Source organism: Homo sapiens, chromosome 20 (assembly GCF_000001405.40).
Source record: "Homo sapiens chromosome 20, GRCh38.p14 Primary Assembly".
Taxonomy (NCBI): domain Eukaryota; kingdom Metazoa; phylum Chordata; class Mammalia; order Primates; family Hominidae; genus Homo; species Homo sapiens.
This window is the reverse complement of record NC_000020.11, coordinates 52074584-52102180: the sequence shown is the minus strand read 5'-3', so window position 1 is coordinate 52102180 and position 27597 is coordinate 52074584. Positions and strand designations below refer to the sequence as shown.

The following is a 27597-nucleotide window of genomic DNA, read 5'->3' as shown; positions in this document are numbered from 1 at the left end:
TGGCTAAAGTACAGATTGGTTCTGTAAGTCTGGAGTAGGGCCTGAGACTGCTGCCTTTTTTTTTTTTTTTTTTGGAGATGGAGTTACTCTCACCAGGCTGGAGTGCAGTGGCACGATCTGGGCTCACTGCAACCTCTGCCCCACAGGTTCAAGCGATTCTCCTGCCTCAGTCTCCTGAGTAGCTGGGATTACAGGCACATGCCACCACACCTGGCTAATTTTTTTTTTTTTTTTTTTTTTGGTATTTTTAGTAGAGACAGGTTTCACTGTGTTAGCCAGGATGGGACGCCTGCCTCAGCCTCCCAAAATGCTAGGATTACAGGCATGAGCCACGGCACCCGGCTGAGACTCTGCATTTTTAACAAGCTCTCAGGTGATGCTGGTGCTCTAGGGACCACCCTTTGAGTAGCAAGGACTTACAAGTAATACAGCAGAATCATCTGGCAAGTGCTTCAAAAATGCAAGGCCCTGAGGTCAGGTGTGGTGGCTCATGCCTGTAATCCCAGCACTTTTGAGTGGTTAAGGTGGGCAGATTGCTCGAGCTCAGGAGTTTGAGACCAGCATGGGCAACATGGCAAAACCCTGTCTCTATAAAAACAAAACTACAAAAAATACAAAACTACAAAAAAATACAAAAATACAAAAACTAGGCATGTGGTGGTGCATGCCTGTGGTCCCAGCTATTCGGGAGGCTGAGGTAGGAGGATGGCTTGAGCCTGGAAGGCGGAGTTTGCAGTGAGCCATGTTGGTGCCACTGCACTCCAGCCTGGGTGACAGCGAGACCTTGTCTCAAAAAAAAATCGCAAGTCCCTGGAATCGCAAGTCCTTACTTGATCCACACTACCACCCCTCCTCCTGCCCCTAAGTTTTCAGTGAGTATAGGGTAAGGCCTGGGAAACTACACTGAACCCATGATCTAGGTGATTGTGACACAGATAGTATCAGGATTACACTTGGAAGAAACATTGGGAGTAGGACTACTGCAGACTTTCTCAACCCCAGCCCTATTGACCTTTGGGGCTGCATCGTTTCCTTGTGGGGGCTGTCCTATGCCCTATAGGATGTCTAGCAGCATCCCTGGCCTTCACCCACTAGATGCCATTCTCAAACATGCATGCAAACAGAATCATGACAATTGAAAATGTTCCCAGGCATTGCTGAGTGTCCTTTGGTGGTAGAATGGCCCCCAGTTGAGAGCCACTGGACTAGATCACTTGTTAAGGGGCTTCGAGCACAACTGCTAGGATGTGAAATCTGTAGTCCTCACTTGCGACATCTGAAGCCACGCAATTGTATTTACTCAGATGACACTGTACTGAGAACTTATATATTTTTTCATCTTGTTTAACTCTGCAACTCTGAGGCATGTAATCTCCTTTTGCAAACGAGTAAACTGAAGCTCAGAAAGGTTAAGTAGCTTGCCAATAGTTGCACAGCACATAGCTGAGCAAACCCTCTGCCTAAAACTGAAGCCCTCACCACTGTGCTCTACAGCCTCTCATGCTAAGATTCCTTCACCCGCACAAACTTCTCAATAAAAGTGATAATCCACCTTTTGTAATAACCTTAGGACAGAGAAAGTCCCAGACCTTGGCCTATAATTCATAAGCTAGTCAATCTTCTAAGACTTTAGATGGCTGTACACAGTGGCTCGTGGCTATAGTCCCAGCACTTTGGGAGGCTGAGATGGGCGGATCACTTGAGGTCAGGAGTTCAAGACCAACTTGGCCAACATGGTGAAACCCTGTCTCTACTAAAAATACAAAAATTAGGCAGGCGTGGTGGCGCACGTCTGTAATCCCAGCTACCTGGGAGTCTGAGGCAGGAGAATCGCTTGAACCCAGGAGGCAGAGGTTGCAGTGAGCTGAGATGGTACCACTGCACTCCAGTCTGGGCGACAGAGTGAGACTCTGTTTCAAAAAAAAAAACTTTGGGAGGCCGAGGTGGGTGGATCACAAGGTCAGGAGATCGAGACCATCCTGGCTAACACAGTGGAACCCCATCTCTACTGAAAATACAAAAAATTAGCCGGGCATGGTGGTGGGTGCCTGTAGTCCCCGTTGGGAGACTGAAGCAGGAGAATGGCGTGAACCCGGGAGGCGGAATTTGCAGTGAGCCAAGATCACACCACTGCAATCCAGCCTGGGTGACAGAGCGAGACTCCGTCTCAAAAAAAGAAAAAACTTCAGACCTTGATGGGACCTTTTTTCCTTTTAGATTTAAGTCTATTTTGAGATATTTCAGAATCTTCTAGTACTTAATCTTTGCTGTAGGAATCTTAAAACCTACATATTAGATTGAAACATGAAATTATTTGACCGTTTTGGCTAACAAAAATAGCGATTTCACCTAGTTCAACCTTCCTAAAAATAGACTATAGTGAATTCTCATCCATTGATCCACTTCAACCATTAATTGCATGTGGTCAATCTCATTTCTCCTTATGCCAGCTCTCTCCCTGCCCTGGATTATTTTTGAAGACAAATTCACATATCATACAACTTGTAAATGTTTCAACATTCATCCTTAGACTATGGGGAATGCTCTTTAAACTCTAATTCCATTTTCACACCAAAGTATAAAACCCCTGTAGCAAACTTGCAGTGAGTGAGCACACTTCTTACCATCTCAGCTTTTCCAGCATATTCTAATCAGGAGCCAAGTAAAGTCCCGATATTGTCGACCACCTCAAGTCTCTCAGTCTTTGCTTTTTCTCCTCTTCCATCTTTCTTCTTTCAAGTTATTTGTTGAAACAACTGTTTTATCCTGGAGATCAGTGATGTGTGGTCTGTGACCTTTTGCTGAACTGAGGCAAAACAAATCAGAAATCCAGAGTAAGCATCTTAAAAAAAAAAAAAAAAGTTTGACATTGCCATGGCATCCAGCTTTTTGCTGTATCTAATGATTGGGCTCTTTTTATCTTATTCCACCTCTCCCCTAATTCTTGTTTATCATATTTTACAGAAATATCAGCCTGGGATGGATTAGAAATTGTTAGAAAAAACTAGGTCTTCATGCCATTTAAGAAGTACTCATATGTTTTTTAGTTTAGATTTTGCCAGTTTCCCTGTTATGTGACAGTGTCCTGTCCCCTGTACTTCTTGGAAACCGTAGTAAGGGGAAGAGGACTTTTGCAAGACAGAGCATACATGGCTTGCTTTTTTTTTTTTTTTTTGGTAAAGACAGAGTCTTGCTCTGTTGCCCAGGCTGGAGTGCAGTGGCATGATCTCGGCTCACTGCAACCTCTGCCTCCCAGGTTCCAGCGATTCTCCTGCCTCAGCCTCCCGAGTAGCTGGGACTACAGGCACATACCACCATGCCTGGCTGATTCTTGTATTTTTAGTAGAGACAGGGTTTCACCATATTGGCCAGGCTGGTCTCGAACTCCTGAACTCGTGCTCCACCAACCTCAGCCTCCCAAAGTGCTGGGATTACAGGCATGAGCCACCCCGCCTGGTCACATGGCTTTCATTTTTTTTAAATTTTTTCTGGAAAGGTGAAGGGAGGTGAAATAAGCCCAAACCTACTGTATTCTAAGACTTAGCATGGTGGTTATAAATGAGAAACTAAGCAAAACTATGCCTCAATTTCAGCTTCAGAACTTGATGATGATGTTCCAAAAGCAAACTGCCTCTCCACTGAAAGCACTGACACTCCGAAGGCCCCTGTCATCACTCTTCCCTCAGAGGCAAGGGAACAAATGGCCACCCTTGGAGAGAGGACGTTCAACTGTTGCTACCCAGGTAAGAGTAAAACCCTGCGTGCTGAGCCGCTTCTGAGCCAAGCACTGATCTGCAAGCCCTACGTGAATCTCTGAGCTGCCTGCTCATGTTACTCTTGTTTGCTGACAACATGCCAGTATCTACATCAGCACACAACAGCCTTCCCTGGGGGGCCTAAGAGGCCTGTAGCATCCAGAGCTCAGCGTGGGACTCACCAGAACATTGGATTCATAGTAGCTTCCACCCTGAGGTTATACATATATGGACTCTTTTTTTTTTTTTTTTTGGAGACAGTTTCACTCTTGTTGCCCAGGCTGGAGTGCAATGGTGTGATCTCGGCTCACTGCAACCTCCGCCTCTCAGGTTCTAGCAATTCTCCTGCCTCAGCATCCCAAGACAAGGTCTTGCTCTGTTAAGGCTGGAGTATAGTGGTGTGATCATAACTCACTGCAGCCTCCAACTCACTGGGTGCATGTGATCTTCCCTCATCCGCCCCCTGAGTAGTTGGGACTACAGGCATGCACCACCATGTCTGGCTAATTTTTTTTTTTAAATAGGGGGCGGGGGTCTCTACGTTACCCAGGCTGGTCTCAAACTTCTGGCCTCCAGTGATCCTCCCACCTTGGTCTCCCAAGCTCGGGGATGGCAGGTGTGGGCCACCACACTCAACTGAGGTTCTTCTAAGAATTGTATTCTTCAGGCCAGGCATGGTGGCTCACACCTGTAATCCCAGCACTTTGGGAAGCCGGGGCGGGCAGATCACCTGAGTTCAGGAGTTTGAGACCAGACCAGCCTGGCCAACATGGTGAAACCCCATCTCTATCAAAAATACAAAAATTAGCCAGGCGTGGTGGCAGGCGCCTGTAATCCCAGCTACTCAGGAGGCTGAAACAGGGTAATCTCTTGAACCCGGGAGGCGGAGGTTGCAGTGAGCCGAGATGGAGCCACTGCACTCCAGCCTGGGCGACAGAGCAAAACTCTGTCTCCAAAAAAAAAAAAAAAAAATCTATTTTTCTTTTCTAGGTTGCCACTTCAAAACTGTCCATGGCATGAAAGACTTGGACCGCCATCTCAGAATCCACACGGGTAGGTATCCATTCTGTTCAACAGCTCAGTAAGAAAGATGGGACGTGAATGTGAATTAAGCGCTAGGGACACAGTAATGAACAGGACAGTCTCTGCCTCATCTGCCTCATGAAACTCAGTCTAGTGGGGTGGGCTTGGGAGAAGGAGCAAAAGGGCTGTGACATGAAGATGAAGTGATTCCCAGGATGAGCTACACAGAGCCTGTGGCTATAGTCATCTTAGAGCAATAAGGTGGCTTCTTAAAGGTGCTTTTTTTTTTAGGGCAGCCAGCTGCTGAGAAGAGAAATAAGACCTGCTGAAGCAAAGGAGTGCCATAATCTATGCCAGGATTACAAACTGCAGCCCATGGGCAACTCAGCCTGTTGGCATGCTCCTTCATTTACCTATTGCTTGCAGCTTTCTGGCCTTACAAGAGGTAGTTGTTACAGGGACTGTAGGGTGCACAAAGCCTAAAATACTATCTTTTTGTTTTGTTTTTTTCTCTGAGACAGAGTCCTGCTCTGTCACCCAGGCTAGAATGCAGTGGTGCAATCTCAGTTCATTGCGACCCCTGCCTCCCAGGTTCAAGTGATTCTCCTGCCCCAGCCTCCTGAATAGCTAGGATTACAGGCGCCTGCCACCTTGCCCAGCTAATTTTTCTATTTTTAGTAGAGACGGGGTTTTGCCATGTTGGCCAGGCTGGTCTCGAACTCCTGACCTCAGGTGATCCACCTGCCTTGGCCCCCTAAAGTGCTGGAATTACAGGCATGAGCCACCATGCCCATCCTGCCTAAAATACTACTTAGCCCTTTACAAAACACTTTGCCAACCCTTAATCTGTGGTACAAATCCTATACTTGCATGTTTGAGCGAGAATATTGGTTTGTTCTTTCAGAAACCAGTCTCAGTGGCTTAAACGTAATCCAGTTTATTTCTTGAGTACATCTTCAGAGGCATAGAGTCCACAGCTGGTCCAATGGCTCTGCCATCCTGAACACTTGGCTTAGCCTCTGGGTCTGAGGCAGCTGCTGTAGTTCTCTGCATCGCTTAGCCAGCAGGCAATGGAAGCAGGCCAGGGAGCCCATGGCATGCCTCCCTTGGGCTGTGACCCAGAAGCAGCGGCCCTTGTGACCTAGGGGAACATGAGCGGGACTTAGTCATGGCCACACCGAGTACCAAGGGGGCCTGAGGGATGGTTTTAAGCGGGGCAACACATGGCCAGATGAGCCTCTGGAGCCCCTTCACTGAGAGGACAGAGATTTCTGGACAAAGATGGTGGTCTCTGTCCAGAAAGATGGGCACTGTGCTATAATAGAGGGCCACTTTTGCCTGGGGACAGTGGATCATGACAAGCATGTTAGCAAGGAAATGTTTGATCTTCACCTTGGAAGACAGGCTACCAGGATGACGATGTCAGTGAAAGCATGCAGATTCAGGAGCCCTTTGAGGAAAGACGAGGCAGCTCAGTTTGAGGAATCTCAGAGTGGGTGACTTTATCCTGAAAATAACTTGAGTGCTTGTTCTCAACTGGGGCTAGGCTACTGCCATTCAGTGGGTGGAGGCCAAAAATCTTAAAATTCACAACACAACCTTCACAAGAATGAAAGGCCTGGAACATCCACAGTGCTGGGTTCGACCCCAAGAGATGTACAGGGGCTGGATTACTGTTTTCTTGAGGTACCGCAGAGCATGCTGGGGATCCAGGACATAAAAGATAAGGCCTTGTTCTTGAGTCAGGTAAGCAGACGCGCCTCCCTAGTGTAAGCAAACTTAGGCCACTTCTCTGGGCCCCAGGTGACTGCTTTAGTTCTCTGAATTTAACTAATGGAAAGTAGGAGAAAAGGCATGGAGGCCTCATGGTATTCCTCCCTTGGGGCACGACCCAGAAGTAGCATCCTTTGTCACTACTGGGACTCAAGTAATGGTGGTTTAAAGCCAAAGTATTTCTGCACCATGATGTTCCAGGTGTGAGTGATCAGGCTGGTGTGGCACTGGCCCGGTGGTCTCAGGGACCCAGGCTGTTGCTTTGCGTTGTCATCCCAAGGGTGCAGCTCTCATTAGCCTGCTCCACAATGGCCTCCTGCCACCTTAAAGCCACACCACTCGAGCTCATCTGTTTGGCCAGAACTGAATCCCATGGCCACCCCCAGCTGTGGAAATGAAGGCTGGGAAAAGGAAGTTTCTCCTGTGCGGTTGTGTGCCCAGCTGCAAAGAAGGTTCTGTTACCAAGAGGAGAGGGGAAAGGTCAGCGTGTGTCTCTGACCCAGTTGTAAGTGGGAGGCAGGGATTCTAACCTGTGGTTCTTTTGGATTGCTTAAGTAAATTAACATATGCAAATAAGCTTTCTCTTTCTGACTTCGTATTTGACCTTGTGTGCCTTGGCTTTGGTGCTTCAGTTCAAATTGAAGAGTAGCAGTCAACTCAAACCATCTGTCTTATTCCCCGTCATGGGCATGCTTTGGGCATGCCTCAAGGTCACCATCATTGTAGGGTTAGAACCCCTGGGATTTTGGTTGAGATCACTTATCACTTTCAAGTTAAAACCAAGCTCAGAAAGCTAGGAATACTGAGGTGTGTGTTTAACTGGGAATAGTGGTTGTATTTCAAATGTATTGCATTTTCCTTTTTATTATTTATTTATTTATTTATTTATTTTGAGACAGGGTCTTCTCTTGCTCTGTCACCCAGGCTGGAATGCAGTAGTGCAATCAGGTTCAAGTGATCCTCATGCCTCTGCTTCTTGAATAGCTGGGGCTGCAGGCATGCCCCATTTCGCCCAGCTAATTTTATTTTATTTTGTAGTGACGAGGTCTCACTATTGTCAAGGCTAGTCTCAAACTCCTGGCCTCAAGTGATCTTCCTGCCTCGGCCTTCCAAAGTGCTGGGATTACAGGCGTGAGCCACCCTTCCCCCCCAGCCCTATATTGCTAGTTTAAGATGGTCCTGTGGCATTTATTTAGCTTCGTAAAGGAGACTGATTTATGTTTGTATTTTTATCCCACTTTGTATTTCTTCATTTGGCATTGGTATCAGGTAGCTGTTATAAAGTGAACTGAAGCAAAATCTTTCTCTATGCTCTGAAACAGTTGACTACAGAAACGACTTTCCTTGAAAGTTTGGTAGAACGTGCACACAATCCCCTCTCTGCTCCAATCCTTAGGAGCATAGAAGGAGGATGGATTAGGCTGAGATAGCACTGTCAACCTCAGTGACAACTGAAGACTGCTCCATATATGCCACTATCCCCCACAGTCACCCCAGCTGCATTCCTTGTGGTCTTCTCTCCGGGACCCAGTTGGTAGATCTGCCTCTGTCCGGAACAGCCAGATGAAGGCGTTCTTGACCTTTGTTGTGCTATGCACTCCTGGCAATTTGGATGGACTCTTCTCAAAAAGATGTCTTTAAATCTAATAAGATATATCACATTTAAAAAAATCATATTGTGATATAATCATCAATGTTAAATGTGCAATTTTCATACTTTAAGCCCTTGCTACCCAAACTGGTACAAAGACCAGAAGTGTCCACATCAGCTGGGAGCTTGGTAGATCAAAATGCAGGAACCCAAGCTGCACCGTAGACCTACTGAATCAGAATCTGCATCTTAATGAGATGCTCCCAAGCCCGGGTGGTTAATATGCACAGTAGTCCCAGAGAAGCCCTGCATTTAATGTCAGGAGCTAGTGGCTAGCATATTAACTACCCTAATTGCAAAAGTGAGCATAAGTGATAACTTGGAGAACTACAATGAGTGTAATGTGGTACGACCACATTTCATGTCCATTGACGAGGGTCTCCAGCACTGTTACTAGTGTGGTTTATTGCCTACATCCATAATTGAAGGCAATGCTAAACAGTAGTTAAGGTAGGGAAGATAAAAATGCAATCATTTCCCATATAAGATCTTAGACCCCTGAAATTTTATACACAGACCCCAGATAAAAATCTCCTGATGGCTGGGCGCAGTGGCTCACGCCTGTAATCCCAGCACTTTCAGAGGCTGAGGCAGGCAGATCACCTGAGGTCAGGAGTTCAAGACCAGCCTGGCCAACATGGTGAAACCCATCTCTACTAAAAATACAAATATTAGCCACGCGTGGTGGTGGCTGCCTGTAATCCCAGCTACTTAGGAGGCTGAGGCAGGAGAATCGCTTGAACCTGGGAGGCACAGGTTGCAGTGAACCAAAATCGTGCCACTGCACTCCAGCCTTGGGGACAGAGTGAGGCTCTGTCTATTAAAAAAAAAAAAATTTTTTTTTTAATCTCCTGATTTGGAACAGTGTATCTTGAGCAAGAGAAACAAGTGTGAGGAACCACACAGTGGCCCTTGACAACAATTCTTGTCACTTTCTGTCATATTTCATTAGCCGGAGTACGTCATGTCCAAACCAGAGGCTATTGGGACAGGGAAGCATAATTCTCCCCATAAGTTACAGCAAATACTTGCGAACAATAAACAATTTACCTTAGAGAGTAGATCTTTAGCATAATTTGTCATTGTTATCGATCTGTTTTGTTTCAGTTTTTTTGTTTTGTTTTTGAGAGACAGTCTTCCTCTTACCCAGGCTGGAGTACAGTGGTGCACTCTTGGCTTACTGCAACTTATGTCTCCCTGGTTCAAGTGATTCTCGTGCCTCAGCCTCCTGAGTAGCTGGGATTATAGCTGTGCACCACCATGCCTGGCTAATTTTTGTATTTTTACAGTGGAGATGCTGTTTCACCTTGGCCAGGCAGGTCTCAAACTCCTGACCTCAAGTCAAGGCGGATCCGCCTGCCTTGGCCTCCCAAAGTGTTGGGATTGCAGGTGTGAGCCACTGCACCCGGCCTGTTTTCGATCTTTTAATCCAGACTTCGCAGTTTTACATCTTCCTGGACCATCACCCATCTTATTGAGTCTTCTAAATTTATTGGGGTATAAAGTTCTACTTAATAGTCACGATTGACTTTGTGTATCTGTAGTCCCCTTCTGCTTTTCCAAAGTCTATTGGAATGGTTTTCAACTAGGTATGATTTCACCCCCCAAGGGAACAATGTCTGGAGACATCTTCGATTGTTACAACTGGAGAAGAAAGGGTTCTACTGGCATCTGGTGGGTGGAGGCCAGGGATGCCGATAAACATCTTACAATGCAGAGGAAAGCACCAAACAGCAGAGAATTTCTAATAGTGTTGAGATTAAGAACCCTGATCTGTTGGTATCCTCTCTTTTTGAGCTAAGCCTTCCTTCTTAAGCACCATTTTTACTTTTATTGATCAAGTGCTATACGTAGCCTCAATTCTTTCTTTTGGTTTCTTGAATTGCATACTGTGCACTTGATTTCAGCATTTTGTTAGAAGTGAACTTAAATCTACAAACTACTTTAAAGCCATTATAGACTATAGGTTTTTTGTTTGGTTTTGTTTTGAGACGGAGTTTCGCTCTTGTTGCCCAGGCTGGAATGCAATGGTGCAATCTTGGCTCACCGCAACCTCCACCTCCTGGGTTCAAGCGATTCTCCTGCCTCAGCTTCCCAAGTAGCTGGGATTACAGGCATGTGCCACCACGTCTAGCTAATTTTTTTGTATTTTTAGTAGAGACGGGGTTTCTCCATGTTGGTCAGGTTGGTCTCGAACTCCCAAGCTCAGGTGATCTGCCTGCCTTGGCTTCCCAAAGTGCTGGGATTACAGACGTGAGCCACCGCGCCCAGCCACGGCCATAGGTTTTGAAATAGGAAACTTATCTGTTTCTGGAGTTTGTAATCTAATTTTGACAAAAACTGTCCTAAAAGACATTCTAAAACTTCCAAGATGACATTTTTGAAAAACCATTTGTGAAGCCATGTTACACTCATAAAAGTTTGACTTTTATCTACATACTGAACTCTCTCATCCATATGAAATTTTTAATGGATTTCACCATGATTTCTATTTTGCCTGATGCTAAAATTGATATTCCTACTTTTTTTAAGCATTTTTCTAGAATTTCTATTGTGTTCCTATCACTTTGATTTAGGTATCTTCAGAGCATTTAGTGGCTTTTTTTCTTAATTTAACTTAAATATATTTTTAACTTTTATTAAAGTAGAGATGAGCTCTCCCTGTGTTGCCCAGGCTGGTCTCAACCTTCCGGCCTCAAGCAATCCTCCTGCCTTGGCCTCCCAGTGTGCTGGGATTACTGGCGTGAGCCACAGCACCTGACCTATAATTTAAATCTTTAAGAGGGAAATGTAATACGTTTTTGTTTATAATATTTACTTTGACATCTAGTTATCTGATATTTGATGTGATTTTTATTTTGTGCTGTTTGGTTTTTTCGTTTCATAGAGACAAGTTCTTGTTCTGCCACCTAGGCTAGAGTGCAGTGGTATGATCAGAGCTCACCTTCTGGGCTCATGTGATCCTCCCACCTGAGCCTCCCAAGTAGCTGGGACTACAAGGGTATACCACCACACGTAGCAAATCCTTTTTTTTTTTTTTTTTTTTTTTTTGGTAGAGTCAGGGTCTCACTGTGTTGCCCAGGCTGGTCTAGAACTTCTGGACTTAAGTGATCCTCTCAAAAGTGTTGGGATTACAGATGTGAGCCATTGTGCCCAACCAAGTCTGTCTCAAAAAAAAAAAAAAAAAAATCTTGCTCTGTCACCCAGGTTGGAGTGCAGTGGCACGATCTCGGCTCACTGCAACCTCCTCCTCCTGGGTTCAAGCCATTCTCCTGCCTCAGCCTCCCCAGTAGTTGGGATTACAGGTGTGCATCACCAAGCCCAGCTAATTTTTGTATTTTTAGTAGAGACAGGATTTCACCATGTTGGCCAGGCTGGTCTCGAACTCCTGACTTCATGATCTGCCCACCTTGGCCCCCCAAAGTGCTGGGATTACAGGTGTGAGCCACCATGCCCAGTCGCCCCAACCAAGTCTTTTGATGGTTGTTTTTCTCTTGTCTGAAAGCTATACTTTTTCCATTGTAGTATTTTCTCATATTGCCATCTTACCTTCACCATCACCCTTATTTTTTTTTCTGGTGTACAGTGTTTAAGTGTGATACCAAGTCATATATCAACTATCTTCTCCTCTCACTGAATGCTAATTCAAGTATAAGATTCTATTAAAACAGTTTCTCTAGAAAGTTGAAGATCCTGTTCCTGTCTTGCTAGCATCCACTGTTCTGAGGAGCTTTATGCTGATGTGAGCATTTTGCTGGTGGTTTTCTTTCTGGAAGCTTCCAGATCTCACCCTTCTTAGGGTTCTGAAATTGGACCACCCTGCTTCTAAATAAGATGCATGGCTGTCTTTAGTGTTGGGAAATAATTCTTCTCAGTTCTATCCTGGACCATCTAGAACGAGCTTTCGTGTCTTACCTTTTGGCGTCTTTTCCCCCTTGTCCTTTTGGGAGATTCTTTAGCTGTATCTTCCATTTCTAAGATTTTTCTTAATAGGTGGCTTTTTCTTTTTGTTTTGTTTTTATAAGAGCAGTTTTAGGTTCACAGCAAAAGTGAACCTAAAGACAAGAAGATACAGATATTTCCCACATGCTCCCTGCTCCTGCGCATGCACAGCCTTCCCCATTACCAACATTACATTTGAATAGTGCATTTTTACCATAGATGAACCTGCACTGACACAACATTCTCAACCAAAGACCATAGTTTACAGTAAGGTTCATTTTTTTTTTTTTTTTTTTGAGACAGTGTCTTGCTCTGTCACCCAGGCTAGAGTGCAGTGGCACGATCTGTGCTCACAACCTCAACCTCCTGGGCTCAGGTGATCTTCCCACCTCTGCCTCCCAAGTAGCTGGAACTACAGGCATGCACCACCACATCCAGCTAATATTTTGTATTTTTTGTGTAAAGACAGGGTTTTGCCATGTTGCCCAGTCTGGTCTCAAACTCCTGGGGTCAAGCGATCCACCCACCTCAGCCCCCCAAAGCACTGGAATTACAGGTGTGAGCCACCGCACCTGGCCAAGGTTCACTCTTGATGTTGTACATTCTGCGGTTGTGGACAAATGTATGATGACCTACATCCACCAATAGCTGTCATTCGACACCCTTTTTGCTGGTCAACTTATTAGAACTTTTATTTTGATTTCCATAGTTTTCATTTCTCTAATTTCATTTCCTCCCTTTGCTTTAGTAACTAAGTTCTTGACTTGGGCGTGTCTTTCTGGTTCTGGCTTTCCCCAAGCATTTGTTTATTGGGTAAACTAATTTTATTTGGATATGATCAGCCTGGAAGGGTTGGGCTAGGGGGTAGTGATGAAACATGGCTGGATGGAAGTGTTCTGGGTATGTGGTCTTCTGCTGTCCCTGGCATCTCTAACTTACCAGGCCCTTGTATTCTTTTTCTGACCTCAGCACCCTTTGACCAACAGCCTAGGGGGAGATGCCGTGCTGCTTGCTGTTTGGAAGAAGTGAGAGGAAGGGGTCCACCTGACCATTCTCCATGTGGTTCATGAAGCTGCCCAAGATCCCTACAGCTGCCACTTCTTATCCTGAGTACTTCTATAACCACTGCCATTTTTCCCAAACAGGGTTTGGCCTGTAATTTTCTCCATCAATCAGATTTTTATGTCATCTTTCCCTTAGGATTTCTGAACTATCAATGAATGATACACATTCTTGTTTCCCAATATGCTGATGTAGACTTCAGTATCTTTCTCTCTCAGTATTTGGACAGGAGGAGGCGGCACACCCATATGCCCAGGCTATCATCTTGGTCAAATCTTTGTAGCCATCTTGACCAAAAAACCTTTAACTTTGACTCCTTATGTGTTTGAAGGAGACAAACCGCACAAGTGTGAGTTCTGTGACAAGTGCTTCAGCCGGAAGGACAACCTGACCATGCACATGCGGTGCCACACCAGTGTGAAGCCACACAAGTGTCACCTGTGTGACTACGCTGCCGTGGACAGCAGTAGCCTCAAGAAGCACCTGCGGATCCACTCTGATGAGCGGCCGTACAAATGCCAGCTCTGCCCCTATGCCAGCCGCAACTCCAGCCAGCTCACCGTCCACCTGCGATCTCACACGGGTGAGTCCCTGACCAGGAAACCTCAATCCCTTACTTTTTCTCTAATTTCTTAACCTTCATTTACTTAACAACACAAGCAACTTAAATGACTTGGTGTGGTAGAAGTACAAGAATTTGGAACTTCTGTGATAATTGTGAGATTTGTCATTTTTCTGTTGCCGGAACAACAACTTTTGGTAAAATATGACTGACAGCTGGGTTTTATATCTTGACTATATAGAATCCAGCTGGGAGTAGATACCCACTATAACTGCCAAGAAGCCAATGATGTATCTCAAGTCAGACCTATAAACTAGATGTTTCAGTAAATGTATACACTGATTGCATGGCTAAATTTGGAATGTAGCAGGATCCATTAAGTATAATTAAAAATCACAAACTTTTAATCTTAGGAACTTCCTTTATGGGACCCTACTGAAATGATAGGACCAACTCATCGTGGCATGGAAAAATGGGGTTTGAGATATTCATAAAGATGCTCATAAGTTGAAAATTTTCAATGAATTCCTGGAAAATGGTGAGCAGACAGGAACATAGTGATGTTTAAAACTGAGTATAGAAAGCTGTGTCCCAGCAGACAAATGGGAGGCAGCTGTACAGTTGGAAGCCAAAGTTTCCAGCCAATATCCAAGGGCCCTGAGGGCTCTGGGCTTGGAACAAGCATGTAGACAGCCAGGGCCACAAAGCTTGGGGGACTAGCCAAGGCCTGGCAAAACTGCCCAACCAACCCAGTAGCAGGTGAAACCTCTGGCATCCATGTCTAATCATTAAACCAGTCTACTTTCCCAAATATAGTCCACCAAGGATCATGAGTCATCTATAGGAAATGAATGGAATAAAATGAGCCAAGTCAATAACTAATCCTGGAAGTAAGAGTACTTGGGTAATTTTCACATTCTAATTGGTGTCTACCCACTGGCAGAAATGTTGCATCCAAATAGAGACCTATGAAGAGATAATGAGAACAAAGAAGTATGAAATAAAACTAGGATTGCTAGCTATAAAATTAATGTCCCAGAGATTACGGGAAAAAAATTGGGTGAGTGAACTGAGAATAAGAGCCAGTCCTGAAGTCTGGTTTCTGACCAGGTCTAGGAAGAAAAGAAAATGGAAGTGAGAAGAAAATAGAGTGAAAATAGAAAATCAAATGAGAAATGAAGTCCACAATTCTAAGGGGCCAGGAGAGTAAAAGTGCTCACAGGATTCCAATCAGGATGGAAGGGAGTGGACAGGGGACATCTATATCTAGAAATATGTCTGGGTAGTATTGGCTTCTAGGAGACAATGGAACAGTGCCCTCAAGAGTTGGGAAATGATTTTGAACTTAGAATTCTATACCCAGCCAAACTATCTCAAGTATGAGAGCAAAATAGAATGATGTGCAAGGACTCAAGATTTTACTCCCAGCCACCATGCTAGTGGGAGTTACTAGAAGATAAACTCTAGCAAAGGAAGGGAGGAAACATCTGGCATGATATATTTGATATGTGAATACCTGAATATGGCTAACTGGGATTGCAGCAAAGAGAAATATCAGGCTGATACTTGTATAGAAAGTCAAGAGAAACTAAATCAGAAGTTTTAAAAATCCATTTTAAAAATTCCTTGTGAAAGGGCCGGGCGCGGTGGCTCAAGCCTGTAATCCCAGCACTTTGGGAGGCTGAGGCAGGCAGATCACGAGGTCAGGAGATCGAAACCATCCTGGCTAACACGGTGAAACCCCGTCTCTACTAAAAATACAAAAAAATTAGCTGGGCGTGGTGGCGGGCACCTGTAGTCCCAGCTACTCGGGAGGCTGAGGCAGGAGAATGGCATGAACCTGGGAGGCGGAGCTTGCAGTGAGCTGAGATTGCGTCACTGCACTCCAGCCTGGGCGACAGAGTGAGACTCTGTATCAAAAAAAAAAAAAAAAATTCCTTGTGAAAGTTACAAAATTATGAGAGTGGATGACTTCTGAAATTGAGATTCCTTCTTTCAAGAAACACAGTCTAATCAAGAAGCAAGTTAAAATGTGCCCCCAAATGAGCAACACGTAAGAAAAGAAAACAAAATTATATTGATGGGTGGTTACGCCATCCACTGGCCTGAGTGTGACAGCAGACTTATAAGGAAGTGATTGTAATCCTGGTGCAGTGTTTGGCTCCGATGAATATCACATTCCCAGTCACCATTTAAATTATTTATAGTTGGCTTCTGAACTTGAAATCTGAAAATGATTAAAGTATAAGAATTCACCAGACAGAATGGAAATATTTTTTTACTTAAAGGTGAAAAGAAAGCTACTTCTAACAAGTGAGGAGTTAAGTGTGGAGAAGAGGAGTGAATCCTCAAAAAATCTCAGAAGCTGATGGACTAAAATGTGAGGCTACTACTCAGCTTAAAAGTGTAAAAGTCACAACCACCAGAATGCAGGGGAGAGGTTAGGGAAAGGATGGGTGTGTAGGATAAGATGCTTATCTTTGTGTATATTCAACTGACGTTTAAAGCAGCAACCTCAAAAACAACTAGAAACCCTTAGCAATGTCTCCAGGGAATGGGACTCTAAAGACCATGGCTCTTTATTATTTGTCCCCTGCTGCCATAATTATGCATTAATATTATAAATAAAATTTAGCCTGTAGTTATAAAAGTAAGAAACTTTAACTTGAAATACAAGCTCAATAACTGATGTCATATAGATTAAACACTATAGTAAGCGTCTTCACAGGTCTTAGCTTGATTTGAAGCAGTTGTTTGTAATTTAAATCTCACCTCTTCTTCCACATTCAATTCTGGGATGTCAAGTTAAATGGGAGTTTAGATTTGAAACTGAAGGGGTCATCAAGAGTATGGACTTGAGTGCCATAGTGCCTGGGTTCCAAATCCCTGCTGTTTGACCTGAGCCAAGTAACTTGACCTCTCTGAGCCTCAGTTGTCCCATCTGTAAAGTGGGGGTAATAGTACCCACTCATAGGATTGTTGTGAGGATTGCATTAATATGCACAACAAGTGTTGTCATTAGGAGGTTGGGTTTAGAGTTCACAAAACCCAACCATCTCATGGCGGCCAAGTGTGCTAAGGCAGGTTGGGGTGGGAGGGTCTGTTTTGCCTGCCTGTTCTAATGGAAACACACCTTCCATTGCTAGGGGATACCCCCTTCCAGTGCTGGCTCTGTAGCGCCAAGTTCAAAATCAGCTCGGACTTGAAAAGGCACATGATCGTGCACTCGGGGGAGAAGCCTTTCAAGTGCGAGTTCTGCGACGTCCGCTGCACCATGAAGGCGAATCTCAAATCGCACATCCGCATCAAGCACACCTTCAAATGTCTGCACTGTGCCTTCCAGGGCCGGGACCGGGCTGACCTCCTGGAGCACAGCCGGCTGCACCAGGCCGACCACCCGGAGAAGTGTCCAGAGTGCAGCTACTCCTGCTCCAGCGCGGCCGCCCTGCGCGTGCACAGCAGAGTCCACTGTAAGGACCGTCCCTTCAAGTGTGACTTCTGCAGCTTCGACACGAAGCGGCCCAGCAGCCTGGCCAAGCACGTCGACAAGGTGCACAGGGACGAGGCCAAGACGGAGAACCGGGCCCCTCTGGGCAAGGAAGGGCTCAGAGAGGGCAGCTCCCAGCACGTGGCCAAGATCGTGACGCAGAGGGCCTTCCGCTGTGAGACCTGCGGCGCCTCCTTCGTCAGGGATGACTCTCTGAGATGCCACAAGAAGCAGCACAGTGATCAGAGTGAGAACAAGAACTCAGACTTGGTCACCTTCCCACCGGAAAGCGGTGCCTCGGGACAGCTCAGCACCCTGGTCTCCGTGGGGCAGCTCGAGGCTCCCCTAGAGCCCAGCCAAGACCTCTAGCTCAGCCGAAGAGGGTGGTCAGCTGTCGGAACTTCTGACCAGTGCTGTTGCCCAGCCCTCCAGAGGTGAGGCCACTGAGAGACAGGCTTTGGGCACCACTTCTGGGGCTGGCCGCTCCAACTTCACAGGCCTTCAGAGGCGATGGCTGGGCGACAGTGACGAAAGCAAAGCAAAGCAGGGCTGTGGAGACACTCCTCGCATTTGTCTCTTCCCTCCAAGGATTATCTGAGCAAGTCGACTTGTTCATTCAAAGGCGGGGTCTGCCAAGCCCTGCTCTATCCAATGGGGATAGCTTCTACGTAACGGATTCCAATTTTAAAACTGATCCATCTCTGATGGAATTATTAAACTTAGACGATATAGAAAACTAAAACTAATCTCTAGAGTGGAAAGGGTTAAAGTGAGGAAGGTGTACGTGAAGGGTCTGGGGTTGCTGGAAAACTTCTATTTCATAACCTGGGTGATCGTTCTAAGAGTGTTTGCCTTATATGTTTGTGTGGTTTCTTTTACCTGTTGTCTTACAATAAAAAAGGCAGACTCATGGTAGCATGATGTAAGGAACACTCAATTTTGCAGCCCTCCACAGACAGTTACGGTAGAAGGTTCTCCATCCCCAGCCCGCGCCCCATTCAGTAACTTAATTATAAACGCACATTGGATTTCTCAATGAGTTCCTACTGTAGTAAAACGAAATGCAGTTTGATCTGGAGGTGGCGCCAAAGATCAAGCTAACTAGCCCAGCCTGTGCTTGTCTGTTGTGGAATTCAAAATTCTGTTTAATTCTATTTGGAGAGAAAAGTCCAGGGGCCCAGTGGGCCCTGAGCTTGGTGCTGGGTGCTGGGATATGTGATACGTGGGACAGCCTCACACCAGCATCTGTTTCATCACGGAAAGCATTTAGTGTTTGCTGAACCCACAAACTACTGAAAATCCAACCTCTTCTCATAGATGGACCCTTAGGAGGTTATGAAATCTCAGTGGATATAATACTTACCCAAAGTTGCTTGGTTTCTACTTTTGGCATCTTTCCTTCAAATACTCTTTTTAAATATAAAGTCTTGTGTGCCCTCATCAAGCTGAACATCTCTGGAATTGAAACAGATTAAGTAGATCCATTGTTCCTGGTAAACTAAGAAAAAAGGATGTAAGATTTTATAGGTTGTGTAGAAGGGACTATTTCACTTGTGAAATAGAGGTACCTAGTTTATTTTGTGAATGGTGGTAGTTTGGGCAAATCTGACTCCGTTTAAGTTTTACATCAGGTAGGTGATGGTGTACTGCTGAATCTCTATTGTAAGAAGAAAAGATTAAAATGATGACAGAGACCCAGGATAGAATTAGTCTCTTTGGAGATGATCGTTTTGATCAGAAAAGTGTTTGGTTACTGAATGCTGGTGCTATTGTACAGTTGCTATTGTTACCTTTCTGCTGTTTGTCGTGAATCTGATCTGCGTTTCTGTTCTAGAAGGTTGTTGACCTTTCAAGTGGGAACCCATAGATTGAAATCACATAAACGTTCCTTGTACTTCTTGTTATAGCTCTTTAGACAAAGAGGAAAGATATCAGCCTTTTTAGAAGGCATTTTTTGTTAACAGCTGTATGGACTTTAAGGATTTTATATCCAAGCTGGTATCACCCAGCAAACTTGGATTCCCAATAGAGCAGAGGTGAGTAAAAAGCTGTGAACCCAATATTTACTTCAGGCAGTGGGTGGGGCCATAAAGTTTTTTGCAACTACTCAGCTCTGTGGTTTTAGTGCAAAAGCAACCATAGATTGCAAGAAAAAACAAGTGTGTCTGTGTTCCAATAAAACTTTACAAAAACAGGTGGCAGGCTAGATTTGGCCCATGGTCTTAGAATGTAGCAAGCCCTCCTGCAGAGTACTTTGCTCTGAACTGGCAAGTGTGACTTGTAAAACACACTAAAAGATACCAAATTTTCTGGCAGAGACACAAATGGGATTTGCACAAAGCTGAGAGTGTAGTTCAAGAGAATAAGGCTGAATGAGTATTAAAAAGAATTTGGGTAACTTAAAAGAATTTTTGAGACTGGTAAGAATTCCAAGATTCAGAGAAAAGTAGGCTAAGAGGGAAGTCTAGGACCAGGAAACTTGTAGGAGTAGGGGTAGTCTTACCTTACCATTTCTAGGAAATTAGAAGATGGCAGTGGATGGGGTTAAATCATTCGGAATTGGGGGCTGAACTGGCTAAACCTGCTAGAATGAGACTTAAAATGTACAGGTAATAACCAAATAAAACAGCCTTAATAGAAAGGAGCAGCTGACATGGCACAGACCAGAATGGCAATTCTTACACCAGCCTTGATTTGCAGAGCCCTCTGGATCTGGAAGAGGAAACTGAGAATGTTTGCAGTTTGACTTCACCTGAGCCCCAGGGATCCGCAAACTTTTTCAGTTAAGGGCCAGATAGTAAATGTTTTGAGCTTTGCTGGTCCTACTTGTTATCAGCTCTGTTGCCACTGCTGTTGTAGCACAGAGGTTCCAACTCGGCCACTGTAATGCAGCTACAGAGAATAGGGAAGGAAATAAGTTTAGCTGTGGGCCAATAAAACTTTATTTATAAAAAGGACATGATTTGGAAGGCCAGTCTGTTAACCCCTAAGTACAAGCAACAGGGTGATTGGCCTTGGATAAAAGGCAAGGGGGAAATGTTAACATGAAATTGAGCCAGCATCAGTAATGAGTGTCTATGGTCCCAGCTACTTGGGAGACTGAGCTAGGAAGAACTATTTGAGCCCAAGAGTTCAAGTCGAGCCTGGGTAGCAATGCGACTCCATCTTTAGAAAAATTTCGTGGGGCCACTTTAAGGAAGGTGTTGCTCCATGCCACAGACAGATGAGTTTCCGGTTAGGTATTGGGGAAAACTGGATCCTTTTGATCTTTACTCAGATCAGCTTGTAAAATCTCCACTGAAGAACAGAAATCAAGGCGATCTCCCGCCCCTCTGCTTAAGGTTTCTTGCTGCCTTCTAGACACTACAGAACACAAATAGCTTGTTTGTCTCCCTGTATTTAACCTCTTCTAAGAAAGCAGATGAGCCTCAATTCGAGTTGCCATCATGACTGAGCCAGGCACTGCACTAAGAACTTTACCTGTCTGCAGGTGTTTTTCTCCCAGGTGCTACCCAGAGCTGGGATAGGGTGAGGCACTTGCCTGGGACATGAGACTTAAGGGAGTGCCGAGAACTCAGTCGCCAAAAAATATTTTAATGCAGATTGGCAAACGGTGGCCCCACAGGTCATCTGCTTTGTTTTTGTAGTTCTGTGGAAAGTTGGCCTGGGATTAGGGCAAGTCAGGGCTGTGCAAGCAGAGTTGGATCCCGTGTTTAGAGTTCTGACATCCTGTTCATTGTAGGTTTCTTTTGCATTCATTTTGGTTTTTAAAAAGTTGCGTTATGGTATTTACCTTGATCAGCTGAGATTTGGGATACCACCTTAAATGTGTGCCTGAGGCCATGGCCTCTCCCACCCCACCTAGCCCCTGTCCCTCTTTAAATGCAGAAACTAAAGGATAAGGGGAAGAAACTTCCTAAAACAATATGACCCAGTAATAAATTGGGGCAGGGTGGTGACATCCTAGAAGCTGTCTCTTGTTTCCTTGAGATGGAGTTTCACGCTTGTCGCCCAGGCTGGAGTCCAATGGCGCGATCTCAGCTCACTGCAACCTCTGCCTCCTGGGTTCAAGCAATTCTCCTGCCTCAGCCTCCCAAGTAGCTGGAATTACATACGCCTGCCATCATGACCTGCTAATTTTTTGTATTTTTAGTAGAGACAGGGTTTCACTATGTTGGCCAGGCTGGTCTCGAACTCCTGACCTCGTGATCCACCTGCCTCGGCCTCCCAAAGTGCTGGGATTATAGGCGTGAGCCACCATGCCTGGCCAAAAGCTGCCTCTTTTAAATATTTAACAGACAAAGACTGTATATATTCGGTGTCTATAATGTGTTGATTGGAAATACCTAAGCATCGTGTAATGACTACCACAGATTAACACAGCTGCCACCACTCATGCTGTGCCTTACAACCCAAAATTTGTTCATGTCATGACAAAGATTGTGCCCTTTGATCAACATCTCCCCGTTTCCCCCAACTCCTGGCAACCATCCTTCTACTCTGAGAAGCCACCTTTTTTTTAGTTATAAGCGAATGCAGCTGAAGATGGGAAATCCCTGCCTCGTTCAGCTAGGGGGATGTCATCTGAGTCTATTTTACTCTTCTGTAAAATGGGTCATGTCAGGCATTTGGCCTAATGATGCAATCTACTGACTTAAGAGAAGTTGGCTTCCCTCTGTCTCCCCCACCCCCTGAGCCCTGCTTGCTTTTTTTCTTTTGTAGGGGGAGGAGGAATAACCAAGATCTAGGTACTGTGGCCTTATGATCAGCAGGGATCATGATTTCTATCTTCCCATGCCCCCTGCCACACACATCTTCAACACATAGTCTCAGATGACACCTTAAGCGCCAACTAGGACAGAAGGTCATGTCCTTAACACCGCTGGGAAGTCGCACATAAGCTGCTGCTTGCCTCCCCACCTAGTCACACACCATAGCTCTACAAAGGACACGGGGAAGCAGGTTCCTCTGGAGTGGGCTGTGCCGGTGAAAACCTGGAAGGGGAGATGCTGAACTCATGAGCATCCTCTGCTGTCTGCACAGTAAGGCAGCCTCATAGGGGTGGGAGGCATTAATAGCTTTTTCCATGGGGCACGTGATACGGGTCCTAAAGACCCTGAGATGTTACATTTGCAAGTATTTGTCTTATCTGGGCTTTATGGGGACAGTTTTGCCTGCTGCTTGTGGATGTTGGGCCATGACAGTCTTCCAAGGCATCCTAAGGCTCTACTCCAGTAGCTCTCCACCGTGCCTGCCTGCTGCGGTCCCCTGGGGGCCTCTTTGGTGTTTGAAATATCTCAGGGGAGGTACAAGGGCATCTCTACTTTCTAAAGTTCTGCAGGTGATTGTAGTGTGGAACCAGGGTGGGAAGAGCCATGTGAGTTGGAGACAGACCGTCTTCATAGGCTGTGCTGTCACAAAGGGCCCCATAGTCAGGAGGCCCCCTGTTTGGTTGCATGTTCTGTCATCGACTTTAAATTCTTAATTTTTTTAATAGCAATTTTGAAAATATTTTGCATCGGGCTTTGCAAATTGTAACAGCCAGTTTTCTGAAGAAAAGGGCATACCTCAGCCTGTCTGCATCACTGGAAAGCTGTGGGAAGGGCCTTCGACCATTGAAATCAAGACTCCTGGATAGGGGGGACCAGGTCTCTGGATGGGAGGGACAAGCACTGGCGCCCACTAACATTCACTAGTATCCCCTCCATTATTTTGATGGTTCCTCACAATGGAAGGCATTTGCCTTCATCTTTGCAAGGGAAAATTGATCTTCAGAGATGTTAACTTGCTCAGCATCATGCAGCTGATACAGGGGAGTCAAACCTGCTGTGCTGAACTCTGGCACCTGCAGTCTTTCTCCACTAGCTTCCTTTTTTTTTTTTTTTTTTTTTTTTTTTTGAGGTGGAGTCTTGCTCTGTCACCCAGGCTGGAGTGCAGCAGTACTCACTGCAGCCTCTGCCCCCCAGGTTCAAGCAATTATCCCACCTCAGCCTCCCGAGTAGCTGGGATTATAGGCACATGTCACCATGCCTGGCTAGTTTTTGTATTTTCAGTAGAGACGGTTTCACCATGTTGCCCAGGCTGGTCTTGAACTCCTGACCTCAAGTGATCCTCCCACTTCGGCCTCCCAAAGTGCTGGGATTAGAGGTGTGAGCCACCACACCCAGCCTTCCACTAGCTTCCTTAACCTCTCACCTTAGTCTAGGGTGTCTCCCACTGGCAGAGGTGGACAGCTCAGGAACAGAATCATGAGTTCTAAGTGTTGAGATAGAACAAAGTCTTCTTTGCAAGAATAGTGAGGTCTATAGTAGGGTGGGAAAAAATTTCAAATGTGAGCATCATTAGGTTGGAAAAACGTCCCTGGGCTGCGTGTGTGCTAGGGCAAGTATTGCAGGAATGACCAATGTTGCATTCCCCCAACATAGGCAGGTTACGAAATTATAAATGTTGCTTAAATGCTTATCTTTGGTAACCAAACATGGATTTATGTGAGTTTAAGTGGCCACCTGAGCTTGAGAAGCTGCTGTCAGGAGACATTCACAATTGCATCTCGTTTGCTCCCCACATGCTGCTTCAGATGCTGCTTTTTTTTTTTTTTTGTAGAGATGGGTTCTTGCTTTGTTGCCCAGGCTGGTCTCAACTCCTGGCCTCAAGCTATCCTCCCCACTTGGCCTCCCTAAGTGCTTTTTACAGCTGTGAGCCACTGCACCTGGCCCACTTCTATTTTAATAGAGATAAAAGTGAAGGCATGAGAGACAGAAGCCTGTCTGAGGTCAAGCAACTTGTCAGGATTAGAACCTGCGTCTTAGGTCTCTGAGGTGGATCCCCTTTCAATACCCCTTGCTTAGGAGGACCTGCTTTAAGACACAGTGCATTCTGAGTCATGGACCCCTTTGGCAATTCGATGAAATCTGTGAATCTGCTCAGTGATGTTTAAAAGAATAAAATACATAGGTTTGCAAAAGGAAACTGCCATTAAAATAATAGTTATCAAAATATTTTTAAATTGTTAAGTGTGTTTTTATTAACACTAAATACAAGATCTATCAGCAGATCTAGTAACTACTTTTATTTTGAAGTAGCAATCTACAATGGCCATGATGTTATACGAAAATATCCAATTTATTTTGTTGACTAAAGCACAGGTTGTCTAATGCTACTGTGATTTGGTGCCTACCTCCAAAATTGGCAGAAATACTGGATTTCGTTCAGAGGCTAGTGAAACTAAAGATTCATTTTCTGGCCAGGTGCAGTGGCTCGTGCCTGTAACCTAAGTACTTTGGGAGGCCAAGGTGGGCAGATCACGGAAGGCCAGGAGTTTGAGACCATCCTAGGCAACAGAGTGAGACCCTGTCTCTACACAAAATTTTTAAAAATAAAAGATTTTCACACCTAAGTTCCTGGACTTGCAAAATTCCATACACTGTCCCCCTCACCTCACATTAGATCTCTGATGTTAAGGCTGGGCATGGTGACTCACACCTATAACCCCAGTACTTTAGGAGGCCGAGGAGGGCAGATCATTTGAGGCCAGGAGTTCGAGACCAGCCTGGCCAACATGGTGAAACCCTGTCTCTCCTAGACATACAAAAATTAGCCAGGCATAGTGGCATGTGCCTATAATCCCTGCTACTCAGGAGGCTGAGGCACGAGAATTGCTTGAACCAAGGACTTGGAGGTTGCAGTGAGCTGAGATCCCACCACTGCACTCCAGCCTGGGTGACAGAGCAAGGCTCTGTCTCAAAAAAAAAAAAAAAAGTCTGATATTAAAGGAGTTTCTGGGGTCCAGTTTTCTTAGTAAAATTTTGACTTGGCGGGGCGCGGTGGCTGATGCCTGTAATCCCAGCACTTTGGGAGGCGGAGGCAGGCGGATCACGAGGTCAGGAGATCGAGACCATCCTGGCTAACACGATGAAACCCTGTCTCTACTAAAAATACAAAAAATTAGCCTGGTGTAGTGGCGGCCACCTGTAGTCCCAGGTACTCGGGAGGCTGAGGCAGGAGAATGGCGTGAACCCGGGAGGCGGAGCTTGCAGTGAGCCAAGATCCTGCCACTGCACTCCAGCCTGGGTGAGAGAGCGAGACTCTGTCTCCAAAAAAAAAAAAAAAAATGACTTGCGATTGCTTCCGTCTTAACCAGAACAAGTAGAACCAGCATTTGAATACTTATTCCCCCCACATTAAAAAAAAAAAAAAAAAAAAAAAACCTTTGGCCCGGGTACAGTGGCTCATGCCTATAATCCCAGCACTTTGGGAAGCCAAGGTGAGAGGATCCCTTGAGCTCAGGAGTTCGAGACCAGCCTGGGTAGCATAGTGGGACCTCATCTTTATAAAAAAATAAAAACCCTTGTATTTGAGAAGGATTCTCCAAACAGGGCTCTTCGTAATACCTCTCTATTAGTCTTTTCCCCCATAAACTGCTCTTCAGATGGCTCAATCTTCATGTGTTAGTTTGAGGGACTTAGGCCTACAGAAAACAAATGTACATTTGTCAATTCCAAAATTCTAAAGGCATTGCACTCACATGCTCTTTCTCATGCTGTGCAGTATGTATTTCTTGAAAGATCGCCAAAGACTGATTTCACCCTAATGCTAAGGGCAGGATTTTTATCCCATAGCTGAGAGGGGCAACACATGAATAACAGTTAATTCTAGTACCCAGCCCAGTGTCATCTGCACTTGTTAGCTTTAAGCATCCTTTTGATAAACTATCTCTTTAAGAGAAATTGATTCTCTGTGTATAGTTCTTTTAAAAGGCATAGACGTGGCCAGGAGCGGTGGCTCATGCCTGTAATCCCAGTGCTTTGGAAGGCCAAGATGTGAGGATTGCTTGAGGCCAGGAGTTTGAGACCAGCCTGGGCAACATAGGGAGACCCCGTCCCTACAAAAAACATTAAAAATTAGCCAGGTACAATGGCATGCATCTGTAGTCCCAGCCACACGGGAGGCTGAGGCAGGAGGATCGCTTGAGCCCAGCAGATGCTGCTATGATCTATGGTCACGCCACTGTACTATAGCCTGGGTGACAGAATGAATGAATACATAGACAACCCTGGATTTTGAGAAAAAACAAATATTGACTGTACTTCAGTTATCCATTTGTTCCTGGTTGCAAGAAAACAGTTTTTATATCAATGTTTAAGAGAATTAATGGTGCAGATGTCACATAGAATTTTTATTCTTTGAAAGAATAATTTTTATTCCAGATACTCATTTCTTTACTAATCCTAGCCCAGTCTCTAGCCCAGAGCCATAATTGCACCACTGCACACCAGGTTGGGCAACAGAGAAAAACCCTTTTCCAAAAAGAAAAAAAATTCAAAAACTGCTTTTAGCTCATGGTGGTAGATTACGTAAAACAGGTGGATTACCACTGGAGAAACTGGGCGAAGCATACAAGGGCTTTTTCTGTATTACTTCTTACAACTGCACATGAATCTACAATTATCTCAATAAAAATTTCAATTTAACTTGCAGGTTATTGGCTAGAGTTGACCCATAGGCGTTAATTTCCTAACTCCTGCTCTAGCTGGTCAGAGCAGCTTATGAGATATGGTATTGAATTTTAAACTATTGCTTTAAAAAATTTTTTTATTAATATTTGTGATTATAGGATACACATGATATTTTGTTACATGCATAGAATGTGTCATGATCTAGTCAATGTATTTGGGGTGTCTATCGCCTCGAGTATTCATTTTTTTTTTGAGACAGCCTCACTGTTGCCCAGGCTGGAGTGCAGTGGCGCGATCTCAGCTCACTGCAACCTTCACCTCCCAGTTCAAGCAATTCTCCTGCCTCAGCCTCCTGAGTAGCTGAGATTACAGGCGCCCGCCACCAAGCCCAGCTAATTTTTGTATTTTTAGTAGAGATGGGGTTTTGCCGTGTTAGCCAGGCTGGTCTCAAACTCCAGACCTCAGGTGATCAACCTGCCTCGGCCTCCCAAAGTGCTGGAATTACAGGCGTGAGCCACTGCGCCTGGCCAAGTATTTATCATTTCTATGTGTTGGGGACATTTTAAGTCCTCTCTTTTAGCTGCTTTGAAATATACAATACAGGCTGGGCACGGTGGCTCAGGCCTGTAATCCCAGCACTTTGGAAGTCCAAGGCGGGCGAATCACGAGGTCAGGAGTTCGAGACCAGCCTGGCCAACGTGGTAAAACCCCATCTCTACTAAAAATACAAAAATTAGCCGGGCGTGGTGGCAGGTGCCTGTAATCCCAGCTACTCGGGAGGCTGAGGCAGGAGAATCGCTTGAACCCGGGAGGCGGAGGTTGCAGTGAGCCGAGATTGTGTCACTGCACTCCAGCCTGGGTGAAAGAGTGAAACTCCGTCTCAAAAA

At 45.2% G+C, this 27597-nt stretch overlaps 1 protein-coding gene and 1 long non-coding RNA gene across 8 annotated transcripts in view; one reads left to right on the top strand and one right to left on the bottom strand.

Annotated features, from left to right (window-relative positions):
* Nucleotides 1-18170, top strand: part of ZFP64 (ZFP64 zinc finger protein) — a 107769-nt gene extending 89599 nt beyond the window's left edge. For all 6 annotated transcript variants that reach the window (XM_047440285.1, XM_017027945.3, XM_017027947.3 and 3 more), the window contains 4 exons: nt 3594-3743; nt 4746-4808; nt 13538-13789; nt 16915-18170. In XM_047440285.1, coding sequence (XP_047296241.1) covers nt 3594-3743; nt 4746-4808; nt 13538-13789; nt 16915-17624 — 1175 coding nt within the window. In that variant the 3' untranslated portion in view covers nt 17625-18170. The remainder of the gene's footprint in view (nt 1-3593; nt 3744-4745; nt 4809-13537; nt 13790-16914) is intronic.
* LOC105372664 (uncharacterized) lies at nt 5700-25472 on the bottom strand. Of its 2 annotated transcripts, none has more exons than XR_936849.3 (3): nt 19046-25472; nt 18619-18710; nt 5700-5919 (listed from the first exon to the last, which is right to left on the bottom strand). It is a non-coding gene; the product is annotated as an uncharacterized LOC105372664 (long non-coding RNA). The 2 variants fall into 2 exon arrangements; XR_007067651.1 differs by having other exon boundaries at nt 23451-23533.
* Nucleotides 25473-27597: the final 2125 nt, after the last annotated feature.